Raw genomic sequence first — 16,304 nt, 5'->3', positions numbered from 1 at the left:
CCCCTCTGGCCTTGTCACCTCCTCTTCTCCTGATCACCCTGTGTGCTCTGCGCACCCCAGCCTCATTGCTTTTCTTCACACAAACCACAGTGCTTCTGCCTCTGTGCTCTGGCACTGCTGTTCTCTCAACTCGGAATGCTTTTCTCCCAAGTATTCTGTGCCTCGCTCCCCTTGCTCATAACCACCCTATTTTAAACTGTAACTTCCAACCGGGAACGAGGGCTTACAGGTGTAATCACAGGACCTTGAAAGATCGAGGGAGGAGAATTGCATGAGGCCAGGAGTTCAAGAACCTGGGCAGTATGCATAGCAAGATCTCTGTCTTTCAAAAAAAAAAAAAATTAGGCTGCAGTGAGCTATGATCACTCCAATGTACTCTAGCCTGAACAACAGAGCAAGACCCCTTCAAAAAGAAATGCAAGTTCTGCTATTCCAGGTTTATTTCTCTCCTGAGCACTTATCATCATCCAGCACACCATATATATTACTAATTATTTCATTTCCTGTCTGCCTCCTACCACAAGTTATGTTGTTTTTGAATGAGAACTTTCTGTTTTGTTCACTTCTGTGACTCCACCACCTAGAATAGTGACTGGCACATAGTTAGCGTTCATGGATCCTTGTCAAATGAATGAATTAATGAATTGACCAAATAGAGAAGCCTGAGGGAAGCTGGGGTGGGGGCTCCCCGATGTGGGTGCAGAATTAGCCTGAGACAGGAGAAAGAACACCTGCTTGTTGAAATCAGAGGAAACAGATCATGAGGGACAGGTATAGGTGGTGGAGCAGGAAGTTTGGGACCTCCCTTTTCTATTTTCTCTCTGAGGTGGTAGACTGTGGCACCATCTGAGATGTGGGGAAAGGATGTGGTGATGAGGATAACGGCTAACGGTCACTATCACAGATACGCGCTGTGTTCGCACCAGGTGCTCTCCACACCGTATCTCATTCCTAAACATCTGCTAAAGAAGTAGATGTCATTAATTCTATTTCTAGGTGAGAAAAATAGAGTTGCAGAAAGGTCAAGGATCCTGTCCTGGTTTGTCTGAGTGAGTAGAATAGGGGTCACCCAGGTGTGTTGACCAGGGAGAGGAAATGGGTGCAGAGGCATGAAACTGCATGATATGTTTGGGACACTGCAGGTGTTGTGGTCAGGCTGAGGAGCAGCACATTGCCAGGATGTCCAAAGGTAGAGCAGAAGTAGGTGGCCTGGACCACTGAGTGCCTGCAATGCAGATAAAAAGTCCAAGGAGGCCGGGCGCGGTGGCCCACGCCTGCAATCCGAGCACTTTGGGAGGCCAAGGTGGGCGGATCACAAGGTCAGGAGTTCGAGACCAGCCTGGCCAATATGGTGAAACCCCGTCTCTACTAAAAATACAAAAATTAGCCAGGTGTGGTGGTGGGTGCCTGTAGCTCCAGCTACTCGGGAGGCTGAGGCAGGAGAATTGCTTGAACCCAGGAGGGAGAGGTTGCAGTGAGCTGAGGTCGCACCACTGCACTCCAGCCTGGGCTACAGAGTGAGCGAGACTCCGTTTCGAAAAAAAAAAAAGAAAAAGAAAAAGAAAAAGAAAAAAAAAAGTCCAAGAAAGCTGGACTTCATCTTTCAGGCCAGAGTTTCTTCAGCAGAGTTATGTAAAAAACTTGTTTAGACAAAAACTAATTTTTATAATACATCTGAAAATATGTCTTCTAACTACTGAAAGAGATGGGAACTAGTTAAAAAATGCAGCATTAAAAGTTAAAATTTGTTATTAGGGAAGTCATTGGTCACTGATATGATAAACAGTAGTTTCCTTGGAAACTGGAACCACTCCACAACAGTTGATTATAAAGATGTGAACCAGATGATATAGAGTCTGCTTAGGTTACAATTTTTAGATTTAAATTGGCATTAAAATAATTTTTTAAAATTTTAACATTTCTGTCCAGGCGTGGTGGCTCATTTCTGTAATCCCAGCACTTCGAGAGGCCGAGGCAGGCGGATCACTTGAGGTCAAGAGTTCGAGGCCAGCCTGGCCAACATGGTGAAACCCCATTTCTACCAAAAAATACAAAAATTAACTGGCCGTGGGGGCACATGCCTGTAGTCCCAGCTACTCGGGAGGCTGAGGTGGGAGAATCGCTTTAACCCCGTAGGCAGAGGCTGCAGTGAGCTGAGATCATGCCACTACACTCTAGCCTAGGTGACAGGGTGAGACCTTGTCTCAAAAAAGAAAAAAGAAAAGAAAAGGATGATTGTTGCTCTTGGTTGAAGGGAAGCAGGAGCCCAAGGGGTTAAGTGGTTTGCTGGTGGCTGCTGTTGAGAGAAGGGCCATGGTAAACTGAATCCCAGAGGTCTGCAATAAAAGAAGAAAGAGGCTGGGCGTGGTGGCTCATGCCTGTAATCCCAGCACTTTGGGAGGCCAAGGCGGGTGGATCACGAGGTCAGGAGTTCGAGACCAGCCTGACCCATGTGGTGAAACCCCGTCTCTACTAAATATACTAAAATTAGCTGGGTGTGGTGGTACATGTCTGTAGTCCCAGCTACTTGGGAGGCTGAGGCAGGAGAATTGCTTGAACCTGGGAGGCGGAGGTTGCAGTGAGCCTGGGTGTACTCCAGCCTGGGTGACAGAGTGAGACTCTATCTCAAAATAATAATAATAATAAATTAATTAATTAATTAAAAAATAAGAATGAGCCTCCTCTATTGGGAAAGGTCATCCTCTTTGAGCACACAGTTTTGAGAGGGAGAAACTTCCTAATGCTCAGCAGCAAATTTTTTCTATTGCTTAGCCCCAGGCCCCCTCACAATGTGAGGTTTCGTCACATTGGCCAGGCTGGTCTTGAACTCCTGACATCAAGTGATCCGCCCACCTTGGGCTCCCAAAGTGCTAGGATTACAAGCATAAGCCACCACGCCCAGCCGGATCATTTAAGGATATATGAGTAGCTGCACTCACCCCCTTGTTAGAACCTCCAAAAAAGTTCCTTATTTTTCTCATTTTCCAGAATAAAAACAAATTACTTTTAAAATCAGAAAACTCATAAACAGATTACTATTTTAAGGATTAAATCGTCATCCCAGGACAAAACCTGGGTAGCCATAGGCAAATCACTTCCTCTCTGAATATCAATGGTTTCATTTATAAATGAGGTGGTTAGACCACAGTGATTTCTACAGTTCTCGGATGTGCTTAGAAAGCTTTTTTTTTTTTTTTTTTTTTTTTTTTTTAATAGAGACAGAGTCTCACTATGTTGCCTAGGCTGGTCTCGAGGTCCTGGGCTCAAGTGATCCTCCTGCCTAGGCCTCCCAAAGTGCTGGGATTACAGGTGTGAGCCACTGCATTTGGCCTAGAAAGCTTTTTGTTGTTATTAAATCATATGTGCTCTATAATATAGAACATATGATACCACACTTTGGTGACCTATCGATTTCTTCTCACATGTTGTAGTTGCCTTAGAATGTGGAGGCAGCTGGAAGGCACGATGAACAGCAATAGCAGATCACTGGCCTCTGACAACTGTCATTCAGTTGAGAGATGTGGATTAAATATGCCCCCAATTATTATCTGTGTAGTTGTGAGCACATAAGTCAATAGACATAGCGAGTGCTTCCCATGGTTCTATTACTTTATTCCCAAGATTCACACGTGACTATGGCCAGCAGCCTCTGGATATGTTAAGATGAAGGAGATATCAACAAAGCATCATGAAAACATTATTATTATTATTATTATTTTCTTTGAAAGGGAGTCTATCTCTGTCGCCCAGGATGGAGTGCATGGGTGCAATCTCAGTTCACTGCAACCTCCGCCTCCCAAGTTCCAATGATTCTCCTGCCTCAGCCTCCTGAGTAGCTGGGATTACAGGCGCCCGCCACCACTCTTGGCTAATTTTTGTATTTCCTGTAGAGACGGGGTTTCACCATGTTGCCCAGGCTGGTCTTGAGCTCCTGACCTCTGGTGATCCGCCCGCCTCGGCCTCCTGAAGTGCTGAGATTACAGGCGTGAGCCACCGCACCCAGCCGAGCGGAGGTTGCAGTGAGCCAAGATCGAGTCACTGCACTCCAATCTGGGTGACAGAGCGAGACTCGGTCTCAAAAAAAAAAAAGAAAAAAAAAGCCAAGCACAGTGGATCACTTGAGCCCAGGATTTCAACACCAGCCTAGGCAACATGGCAAAACCCAATCTCTACAAAAATACAAAAATTAGCCAGGCGTGGTGGCATGCACCTGTAGTCCCAGCTACTTGGGAAGCGGAGCCTGGGAGTTCAAGGCTGCAGTGAGCCATAATCATACCATTACACTCTAGCCTGGGTGACAGAGTGAGACTTTGTCTCAAAAAAAAAAAAAAAAAAAGTTTTGGCCGGGCGAGATGGCTCATGTCTGTAATCCCAGCACTTTGGGAGGCCAAGACAGACTGATTATTTGAGGTCAGGAGTTCAAGACCAGCCTGGCCAACATGGTGAAACCCCATTTCTACTAAAAATACAAAAGTTGGCCAGCTGCGGTTGCTCATTCCTGTAATCCAAGTGCTTTGGGAGGTCAAGGCGAGTGGATAACCTGAGGTCAGGAGTTCGAGACCAGCCTGGCCAACATGGTGAAACCCCATCTCTACTAAAAATACACAAAAATTAGCTAGGTATGGTGGCTCATGCCTGTAACCCCAACTACTCAGGAGGCTAAGGCAGGAGAATCACATGAACTCAGGAGGTAGAGTTTGCAGTGAGCTGAGACCACACTACTGCACTGCAGCCTGGGCAACAAGAACCAAACTTCGTCTCAGAATAAATAAATAAATAAAGATAGAAAAATTAGCTGCGTGTGGAGGTGCACGCCAGCTACTCTGGAAGCTGAGGCAGGAGGATCACTTGAACCTGGAGACAGAAGTTGTAGTGAGCCAAGATCACGCTACTGCAGTGCAGCCTGGGAAAAAAAGCAAGACTCTATCTCAAAAAAAAAAAAAAAAAAAAAAAAAGGAAAAGAACGGGCTGGGCACGTTGGCTCACGCCTGTAATCCCATCACTTTAAGAGGCTGAGGTGGGTGGATCACCTGAGGTCAGGAGTTCAAGACCTGCCTGAACAATATGATGAAACTCCGTCTCTACTAAAAATACCAAAAAAATTAGCCAGGTGTGGTGGCATGTGCCTGTAATCCCAGCTACTCGGGAGGCTGAGATAGGAGAATCGCTTGAACCTGGGAGGCAGAGGTTGCAGTGAGCCGAGATCACGCCATTGCACTCCAGCCCGGGCAACAACAGCGAAACTTCGCCTCAAAAAAAAAAAAAAAAAAAAAAAAAAAGATGTAGATTTTATTCCCACAAGAGAGAGACAACTTTGCAGGGTCATTTCAAGACAAGGAAATATATTTGGGGCTAAAATATTTTCATTTCTTTCCTTATTTATTATGTGAGGTCATGCCAGAGCCAGGTTGGAAAGCAAACCACGTCACATAGGGTTAAATAAAACCCCTCTGATGAAACTTTATGGTTTGTAGGGGTGACTCCCAAGGTCCCTTAGGGAGGAGTTTGGCCAAGATAAGAAAAAAAGTCAGAGTTTCATCCTCAAAGACAATGTTCCCCTGAAAACTGTTGCTATTTCTATATATTCTTTATTGAACATGCAAGGTATATATCCTGCTTAGAGTAGTGTCAACTGCTGTAACAAATATATGTAAAAGTTTCAGGCCAGGGAAGACGGCTCACTCCTGTAATCCCAGCACTATGGGATGTCGAGAGGTGGAAGGATCACCTGAGCCTAAAAGTTTGAGACAAGCCTGGGCCACATAGGGAGACCCTGTCTCTTTAGAGAGTTTAAAATTTAGCTGGGCATGGTAGTGTGCACCTGTGGTTCTAGATACTCAAAAGGATTGCTTGGATCTGGGAGGTCAAGGCTGCAGTAAGCCATTAACATGCCACTGTACTACAACCTGAGCTACAGTGATACCCTTTCTCAAAAAAAAGAAAAAAAAAAAGAAAGAAAAATAGAAAGTTTCAATGGCTTAACCAAATAGCAATTGATTTCTTGCTCACATACATGTCAATGTAGTTGTTTCCTCTTGGCAGGCAGTTTTCACAGGTGTGACTTCTTTCTGCAGAACTGTTCTCCAAGTGGCCAGGCACTGACCCAGTTCTCCTCCATTTCTTGCTTGTAGTCTGAAGAACAACTGTAGAGTGTGTGGGAATGCCCATATCCTGAGGCAGGGAGGAACTGCCTGAAACAGCCTGGGCCTGGCTCCTGGCTCTCCTAAAGAATGTAACATATTGAATTAAGGAGGAACTGCTAGGACAACCAGAGCCTTGTTCCTCTCTCCCTGAAAGTAGGATGAGATTTACCCAGTGATTCCTGTGGCCCCTGAGGTACTGAGCCTGGGGTAAGCTGCTTTTGGGGCCCCTCAGCTGCAACAACAGTAGGCCATGTGCAATTGAAGCTCCATCCACCCAAGGCAGCTTTCATAAGCCTTGGGAAACTGGCACATAATGAATTCTAGTCTTCTGTTGTCTCTTGCTTCCTATCTGTAAGTAATACATTTGCTTCATGTAACTTGTTGCATGTGAGTGTCTTCTGTCTCACCAGGCTCAGGCAGGTTCACAAAATTCACCAGTGCATGGTGAATCTGGTTCACAAAATTGGTGAAGTGAGCAGGGCCCTCTTTGATAGAACCATGGCTTATTGATGAAGTGGAAGGAATGATACCCCGAAGTACCCAGCCCAGGGTGTAGACATCAACCTAGAGGTGTGCAGGAGCTGGACAAGCAGCCAGATGATTTATAAAAGGAAGAATGAGAGGTGAGATTATAAGCCAACAATAAAATTTGAAGGCCTTCTCACCATCTGAATGGACCTTTCCTCTTGGCCAGGGCATTCCAAAGTTTACCTGATTATCTGGTTCAGGTCATGACAGGAAAGAAGGGCCAATTATACCCCACTCAAGTTTGGCTTTCAGGAAAAGCTGACCAGCATTAACATCAACACATACCTCAAGTCTGACAAGAAATATTTACAATCTATTCTCTCTGAAGCCTGCTACCTGAAGGCTTCATCTGCATAATAAAGCTTTGTTCTCCACAACCCCTTATCATTATAACCCAGACATTCCTTCCTATTGATAATAACTCTTTCAACCAGTTGCCAATCACAAAATTTTAAATCTACCTATAACCAGGAAGCCACACCCTCACCCCACCACCCTTTCTCAGCTTCGAGTTGTCCTGCCTTTCCAGACCCAACCAATGAATTTTTTACATGTGTTTGATTGATGTCTCATGCCTCCCTAAACTCTATAAAACCTGGCTGTGCCCCGATCACCTTGGGCACATGTTTTCAGGATCTCCTGAGGGCTGTGTCACAGGCCATTGGTCACTCATATTTGGCTGAGAATAAATCTCTTCAAATGTTTTACAGTTTGACTCTTTTTGTAAACAGGACATAGGTCACCCCCAACCCTGCGGATATGAGTGAGCTGGCTGCACTGACTGGGGCAGAGAGAAAGAAATATAGAATAGGACAGTGGCAAGCCACCCTCTGATTGTTGGACACTTGTATGGTTGTTCATTCCCGAGAGCTAGAGAACTCAGGAAATGGATACTCAGTTGATCCCTGAGAACCCTGAGAGGGAAGAGGAAGAGGTCCTCTGGTGGTCCCTGAGGCATCTGAGAGGGAACCAAACACAGTTCATAAGGGCATTTACAGAGCAGAAACTCATTATCCAAAGAATAAAAATGGAGAATAGCCAGCTAAATCTTGTGCAGGCTGGGTGGTGTGTCCAGCTTCCGCACCCCTGTAGGTTGATGTCTACACCGTGGGCTGGGTACTTCGGGTATCACTCCTTCCACTTCATCAATAAGCCATGGTTCTATCAAAGAGGTTCTATCAAATCCAAATGTCTCAGGCTGAATGGCCCAGTTGGGAATGGGGCCACGGTCTCTGGTTTCCTCCCCACTGGAGGTCAGTCACTCTATATTCCTGTCAAGATAAAACAGGAGTTCTTATAATAAGCCAGGAACAGAAAGACAAACTTTGGATGTTCTCAGTTATTTGCAGGATCTAAAAATCAAAACAATTGAACTCATGGAGATAAGAGAATATAAGGATGGTTACCAGAGGCTTGGAAGGGTAGTGGAAGTGGGAGGAAGCGGGAGAGGAGGTGGGGATGGTTAATGAAAAAGGGCCGGATGTGGTGGCTCGTGCCTGTAATCCCAATACTTTGAGAGGCTGAGGCGGGTGGATCACCTGAGGTCAGTAGTTGAAGATCAGCCTGGCCAACATGGTGAAACCCTGTCTCTTCTAAAAATACAAAAGTTAGCCAGGCATGGTGGTGTGTGCCTATAATCCCAGCTACTCAGGAGGCTGAGACAGGAGAATCACTTGAACCCGGGAGGCGCAGGTTGCAGTGAGCCGAGACCATGCCATTGCACTCCAGCCAGGGCAACAAGAGCAAAACTCCATCTGAAAAAAGAAAAAAACAAAAAAAAAAACAAAAAAAAACAGAAGAATGAAAAAGACCTAATGTTTGACAGCACAACAGGAAGACTATAGTCAATAATATCTTAATTGTACATTTTAAAATAACTAAGAGTATAATTGGATTGTTTTTAACACAAAGGATAAATGCTTGAAAGGATGGATACCCCATTTTCCATGATGTGATTATTACAGATTGCGTCCTGTACCAAAATGTCTCACGTACCTATTAAATATATCCACTTACTATGTGCTCATAAAATTTAAAATTTAAAAATTAAAAAAAAAAAGACATGCTTGCTTCAGCAGCACATATACTGAAATTGGAATGATATAGAGATGATTAGCATGGTCCCTGCTTTTAAAATTAATAATATTCCTTTAAAAGATAAAAAGGGGGAAAAAGGAATTCATATTTTTCTGGTGTTCTTAGATATTGGAACCCATGTGACAATATTTCCAGGTCTCCTTAAGGGAAAAATTAAACTGGTGACATTAAGAGGCTTGGGGACAAAAGCAGTGACCTATGGTGCTTATCTGCTGTGGGGTGCCTCTGGCCATTTGAGGTGCCGGTGACTTTGGTTCCTGTGGCTGAATGTCTTATAGTCATTGACATTTTGGCTGCTTGGGGCTCAGCACATCATCACTGCCTGAGGGGTGCGCCCGCTCACAGCTAAGAATTCCAGCCGTTACGGCGGGGCATATCCATGCCTGTCTGCCACCTAAGCCACCCAAGTCCCAGTGGGTTATTCAAAAAAACAGTACTGCATACTAACTGAAGAACAGGACATTATTGTGTTAATTATTGTTACAAATGGAAATGCTACAAACTACCCTGTCATAATGTAACAGCTCAGTTTGGCTAGTCAAAAAGGCTTTCGGATGTGGAGACTAACAGTGGACTGTCCCTGGGCTAAATGCGAAGGCCACATGGGCAGTAAGCCAGAAAAGTATTCTAGATACAACCAAGCAAAAAAATTTAATTTTGGAGACATCCACTAATAAAAAGGAGGCCCAACAGCTGGAAGGCCTCTTTGGGTACTTGGGCATTGGAGGCAACATGTACCCCACCTGAGTGTTCTTTTGGTCCCCTAAGTCAGGGTGACCAACAAAGCCACCAGCTTTGAATGAGGCCCTTTGTAGCAGTGGGCCTTGGAAGCAATTAAATAAGCCATGGTCCAGGGACTGCCATTAAAACCTTTACAGCCTGCTAGCCTGATGGCACTAGAGTAGTCCCCACTTATCCTTGGGGGACATGTTCCAAGACCCTCAGTGGATGCCTGAAACTATGGATGTGTCAAACACTATATATACAATGTTTATCACAGACATACCTATGGTAAAGTTGAATTTATAAATTAAGCATAGTAAGAGATTAACAACACTAGCTTAAAATAGAACAATTATAACAATACACTGTAATAAAAGTTATGTGAATGGGGTCTCTCTCTCAAAATATCGTCTTGTGCTGTACTCCCCCTTCTTCTTATGATGATGAGGTGATAAAATGCCTAAGTGGTGAGATGAAGCGAGATGAGTGAAGTAGGCACTGTGATGGAACGTTAGGCTACTGTTGACCTCATGATACATCAGAAGGAGGATCATCTGCCTGGGTGATCCTGGATCACTGAGCCATGATAACGTCTGTGGTTGGATGTCAGGGGCAGATGATGTCAATGACTAATGGGCAGTTAGCATACACAGCTTGGATAAGCAGGACAAAGGGATGATTCATATCCTGGACAGGGTGGTATTTCATTATCCTACCCAGAGTCAGTTGCAACTTAAAACATATGAAATGTTTATTTCTGAAGTTTTTCATTTAATATTTTCAGACCAAGGTTGACCAGGAGCAACTCAAACTGCAGAAAACAGAACTGTGGATAAGGTAGAACTATTGTACAGGAGTTACAACCCCCATTCCTGCTGATTGGAGTTTGTGGCAACAGAAAACTACCACTGGGATACACCAATCTATCAGATTTTGGACACTTAAGCTGCATGAGGCAGCCACCAAATATATTCCTTTCCAAAAAAATTGCATTTTTTTTTTGTCAAGCATTTAGATATATATTTTTTATATAGTCCTTTGGAATGGCAACTCAATATACAGACACCCAGTATAATATAAATGTTATTACCATTAAAAAATAAGTTTAAAAAGTAATAAATATTATTACCATTAAAAAATGATAATGGCTACTCTTTGCCACTGATCAGAGGGAGGACTCTATTAGTTAGGTCTGAGGTTCCGCATTTTGTGGATCAGAACAGCTTAATCATCTTGCTGACTATGAAGGTGGGGAAGGACATGGAGAGAAACAGATATTGCTCTCCACACCCCAGAGAAAATGTTAAAAATCATTATTAACTCTAAGGCATGGTTTAGGAGAGAGGAGACTCCCTTATACCCGAAAATATGTTTCTAACCTGCTTGCTATTGCCTGAAGTCTATTTAATGAGGGAGATAGCCTTTTATTCCACAATTAGAAATGAAAGACATCAGATGCAATGTAAAATGAGTTAGAGCAAATGAATTTTTAAGTCAAAGGTAAACAATAATGATAATTTCTTCCTCTCTTCTCTCTCTTTCTCTCCTTATGCAACCAATGGTTTGGTCGTCTACAGCTTGTCTTTCAGGCATGAACTTCATTACTTCAAGTATGCAAATGTGAAACAGATAAGGGCCTTGCCTTGCAGAATTTATCTGATAAGGGATAGTGTTAAAAAGTCAGCAGGTCCTGGGTATGTGAAACTGAGTACCAAGAGGAGACTGGATATCGTGAAGTCAAACTTCTCAAATTCCACAAATTGGCCTCAGGTACAGTCTATTTTTGAAACAAATATAAATGGAGTTTAAAGACGTTCCACATTTGATGGATGCATGAGCTTTCAGAAGTGCTCTAACTTTCCCTGTCGGTTGAAAATTAACATCCTGGGAGCTGAGACTGACATTTCTGCAGAACAATCGTCTTTCTCCCCCAACCCCCAATATTTTTTTTGAAATAGAGTCTTGTTCTGTTGCCCAGGCTGCAATGTTGTGGCTCCATCACGGCTCACTGTAGCCTTGACCTCCTGTGCTCAAGCGATCCTCCCACCTCAGCTTCCTGAGTAAGCTGGGACTACAGGCATGCGCCACAACCCCTGGCCTTTTTTCTTTTTTCTTTTTTGTAGAGACAGGGTCCCACTGTGTTGCCCAGGCTGATCTCAAATGCCTGGGCTCAGGTGATCCTCCCACCTCGGCCTCCCAAAGTGTTAGGATTACAGATGTGAGCCACTGCACCCAGTCTGAACACCGTTCTCTTTGAACAGTGCCTGACACATAGTAGGCATTTGGTAAATACTTGTGGAATGGATTTGTGAATGATGTACTTTTATTCCTAAATGAATTCTTAATACTTTGTGACCTGTCTTTGTATGGTTCAACAATGTACTAAGAGCGTTTTCATGTCATTTTAAAATTCGATTTTAAAACTTTATATTATGGAAATTTTCGAGAAACACAGAAGTAGAGAATATAGTATAAGGCCGAGTGTGGTGGCTCACGCTTGTAATCTCAGCACTTTGGGAGGCTGAGGTGGGTGGATCACCTGAGGTCAGGAGTTCCAGACCAGCCTGGCCAAGATAGTGAAACCCCATTTCTACCAAAAATACAAAAATTAGCTAGGCATGATGGCGCATGCCTGTAATCTCACTACTTGGGAGGCAGAGGTTGCAGTGAGCCCAGATGGCATCACTGCACTCCAGCCTGGGCAACAGAGCGAGACCCTATTTCAAAAAAAAAAGACCAGGCCGAGCACGGTGGCTCATGCCTGTAATCCCAGCACTTTGGGAGGCCGAGGCAGGCGGATCACCTGAGGTCAGGAGTTCAAGACCAGCTTGGCCAACATGGTGGAACCCCGTCTCTACTAAAAATACAAAAAAAATTAGCTGGGTGTGGTTGCGAGTGCCTGTAATCTCAGCTACTCAGGAGGCTGAGGCAGGAAGAATTGCTTGAACCGGGAGGCAGAGGTTGCAGTGAGCCGAGATCGTGCCACTACACTCCCACCTGGGCAACAGAGTCAGACTCCATCTAAAAAAAAAAAAAAAAAAAAAAAAAGGCCAGGCTCAGTGGTGCAGTGGCTCACGCCTGTAATCCCAACACTTTGGGAGGCGGAGGTAGGCGGATCACCTGAGCTCAGGAGTTTGAGACCAGCCTGGCCAACATGGCGAAACCCCGTCTCTACTAAAAATAAAAAAATTAGCCCGGTGTGGTGGCATGCACCTGTAATCCTAGCTACTTGGGAGGCTGAGGCAGGAGAATTGCTTGAGCCGGAGAGGCTGAGGTTGTAGTGAGCCAAGATCGCGCCACTGCACTCCAGCCTGGGTGACAAAGTGAGACTCCATCTCAAAAAAAAAAAAAAAAAAAAAAACAGTATAAAGAAGCCCTAATACAAAAAGAAAAATAAATAAGCAAAACAAACAAACAAACAAAAAACAAAAGAAGCCCTCATGTGCCCATTCACAACTTCAGCAATTTTAACATTTTGCCAGATGGAAAGTGTTCTGTCTCTGTAACCTCCCTTTTCTTCCCACATGCCATACATTTTCACCTCTAAGCATTTTCTGTGCATTTGTGTGTGTGTGTGTGTTTGTTGTTTGTTTTTGTGACAGGGTCTTGCTCTGTCTGTCACCCAGGCTGTAGTACAGTGGCACAATCATAGGTTACTGCAGCCCCGAACTCTTGGGCTCAAGCAATCTTCTCAGCCTCCTAAGTAGTTGGGACTACAAGGCACACCACCAACCCGGCTAATTTTTATTTTTATTTTGTAGAGACAGGGTCTTGCCCAGGCTTGTCTTGAACTCCTGGCCTCAAGAGGCCTCTGCCTTGGCCTCCAGAAACATTGAGATTACAGGTGTGAGCCATTGTGCCCAGCCTCACACATAAGCATTTTAGAATGAATCTCTGGTAAGCTTTTTTTCATAACCACAGTGCTTTTATCATGTTTAGTAAAATTAATACTGCATTTTCTTCAAATCGTCTAAACCCAGTCTTACACAAGTTTCCCCAATTGTCTCAAAAATGTATTTTTATAATTGATTTGTTCAAATGAGGGCCTTAATACAGGCAGATCATTGCAATTTAATGCAGGTAACAGACGGTGTAGGGGATGAGAATGAAACTAATTTTTATCAACTGCTAATTATTGGCTTTTTTACAGCCACTATACTTGTGTTTTATATATGCATGATCTCATTTAATCCTCAGAACATCACTTTTAAACAGTTAGTGCTGAGCTTACATTACCCACACGACAGGTTCCATCGCTTGGCAGGTGTCAGTCCAATGACTGCAACCACGGAGGATTTAACAAAGGTATTTGATTACTTGCAACAAGTAAAGAGAACATTGGAGTAGTTCCCAAAGCAGTGCCTCCTGGAACAAAGGTGAAAGTGGGGCCTTTATTGTGCTGTTCAGCTGAGTCATTGTATGTAAAAGTGGGATAAAGTCAGCGCAGGTGCAGCCGTTGATCATGTTTCTTCATACATCACATATACAAAAAATGACGAATAGGCTCCCGTCTTGGTTTTAGTATGGTAATATGGAAAGTTCAAAAAAGTTCTTCTCCAACTCAGGCATCTCTGGATCCAATTGGTTTTTGTTTTGCAGGGGCTGGGGTTGTTCCTGGAAACTTTTTGAAATAACAAAAACTCAAGGTGCAACAGTTACAAGTGGGTAGTTTTTCTGCAGTGACCTGGGGATCCTGGGTTACACTTATCCCACAGATGAGGCTCAGAGAAATTAAGTATCCGGCCCAGGTCACTTAGAGATGAACAGATTGCTGATATTTAAAGCCAGATGTGTCTCATACTGAAGTTTCTGTTCATAACTGCTGTGTTGTGCACGATAATAGAGAAAATAGTGAACTACTTCTCAGACTATAGAAATTATAAAATAAATACTTCATGAAGAAAAACATTTTGACTTTATGAAAGTAATGCTGGAAGGAGTTATGCCGCTTGCTATTTGCGAGTGTGGGGACCAAGGCTTTTCTTTTGGCCCTCTGAAGTTTCACTGAAAAAGTGACTCACAAAAGGCAAATTAGTTGGAGAAAAGGCATACAAATTTACTTAATGTGTATGTACAGGAGCCTTCAGAATGAAGGCTCAACCCCTCAATGAGTATAGAGACTTGTATATCATCTTGAGGTTACAGAAAGAATGGGGGCTAGGATCCTGGCAAAACAGGTTGTGGAAGCAGGATGAAGAGGAATTCTGTTGAGGGGCAATAAATAATTTCTAGGGAGAATCCAATGGGTTTGAAGAACATACAGTGGTGTGGGGCAAAGTCTGTTGGGCCCGCAGAGTGGACAATGGTTTTTGACAAAAATCTGTTCAGATTTCTGGACAGACTTTAGTCTTCCTTTCTGCTATATTGTTACTGGGGGTCCCAGTTACTCCTAAAGGGGCTCTTTTCTGTGTGGTGTCCAGAAACCAATACACAAAACCAAGTGTCAAGCAGTGTAGGCTTTATCTAATGACCGTGGAGTTGGAGAAGTGGGAGTATAGCTTGCAAATAACTTTCCAGCCCCTGAGAACTGGGAAGTCACAGATGTACGGTATCTTACTTAGTAAAGGGGTGGGCATTAAGAGCAAGGGAAGGAATATTCCTGCTTTTTCTTGAGAAGGGACGAAGATTTTCTTGGAATCAAGGAGCCTCCTCTTTTTTGTCCTTTTTCAGTCTCTTCCAGTCATTATCATGGTGATTGTCAACTGTCATGGTGCAAGTGCGAATGTCATTTAGCATGGAAACTGGATTAGAATGAAGCTAGAGGTTTTTCAGGGGATGAATAAGCTGCCTAAGAAGAAATCTATGATCACAGACATCCTGTTTCCCAAAATTAAGCAGAGTTAAGCTGAGTAGGAATTTACTTCGTATATCACATATGCCTTGCATTGGGCAACAAAAGCAGAATAGGGGTCCAGCTAAGTCATGTAGGCATTGCAAGGGCAACAAATTCCCTTTTTAAATGTTCACGCCTCATTCTTGAGGGGTGCTGAAGGGCAAAGTCTATTTTCTGTAGCTTCTTTATGCTGAGTTTGGGCATAGGCAAGCATCCTGTTAAAGGAGTGAAACTCTTCCTGGTCATTTTCAGATAGGTTTGATTCTCTCCTGGCTATAGGCTTAGCTGTTGGTACCCCTGAGTAGCCCAACATTTGAATGTTTATGGCTTTTAGGCTTTTTGCAACAAACTTGGTGACAGAGTTCAGAAGTCAGGGACCAAAAATTAAAAGGGTTACTGCTGTGAACAATTACTGAGACAATGGGGCTTAGTCATGGTCCCAACCACCCTAATTAATCATTAGCTATCCTGCCTAGGATGGGTGAAGAGGGGTCTCCCTTTGTCTTGTCCAGTATAGCTATATTTTGATAACAGATTTCTAAGTTTTCTTCAACTTGGCCTGAGGTATTTATATAGAAGCAATATTCCTCTCTTAACATGGTACATGTGCCCCTGCCTCTGCTGTGAGTACATCTAGGGTCGTTCGGTTTTGCAGCACTGAAGTAGGGAGTTCAAGGCTGTCTGTTGAGCATCCAGAGTATTGACTGTAGCTTTCTGTGGTTGTTGAATAAGGATTGAGATGTTTTTAATGGACTTCTTTAGGTCACCTATCCCTAGACACCAGAAAATGCTATAGGGAGTGCCCTATACCACTTCTACTAATAATTAGATTAGAGGTAGCTAAGGGCCCAAAGTGGAGTTGGTCTGGATCATATAGGCTCCTTTCTCCACAGCCTTGGATCCTGTGATATTTAAAGCAGTGGAAAGGAATACCCTAAGGTTAAATACTTTCCCTGAGGACCCTAGATGAGATGTATTGA

General features: G+C 43.7%; 1 pseudogene, besides 1 other annotated feature; it reads left to right on the top strand.

The window, feature by feature from the left end:
- Positions 695 to 744: an enhancer, noted in NCBI's record as "active region_24239". NCBI's record gives its function as "activates an Ori minimal core promoter by ATAC-STARR-seq in GM12878 lymphoblastoid cells {active_cell/tissue: GM12878}" and the evidence as "EXISTENCE:reporter gene assay evidence [ECO:0000049][PMID:35858748]".
- On the top strand, positions 8,738 to 8,823 carry LOC124901520 (uncharacterized; annotated as a pseudogene).
- The last annotated feature ends 7,481 nt before the right edge of the window (positions 8,824 to 16,304 follow it).

This window comes from Homo sapiens, chromosome 6, assembly GCF_000001405.40.
Source record: "Homo sapiens chromosome 6, GRCh38.p14 Primary Assembly".
Taxonomy (NCBI): domain Eukaryota; kingdom Metazoa; phylum Chordata; class Mammalia; order Primates; family Hominidae; genus Homo; species Homo sapiens.
This window is presented reverse-complemented; position numbering and strand designations above follow the sequence as displayed.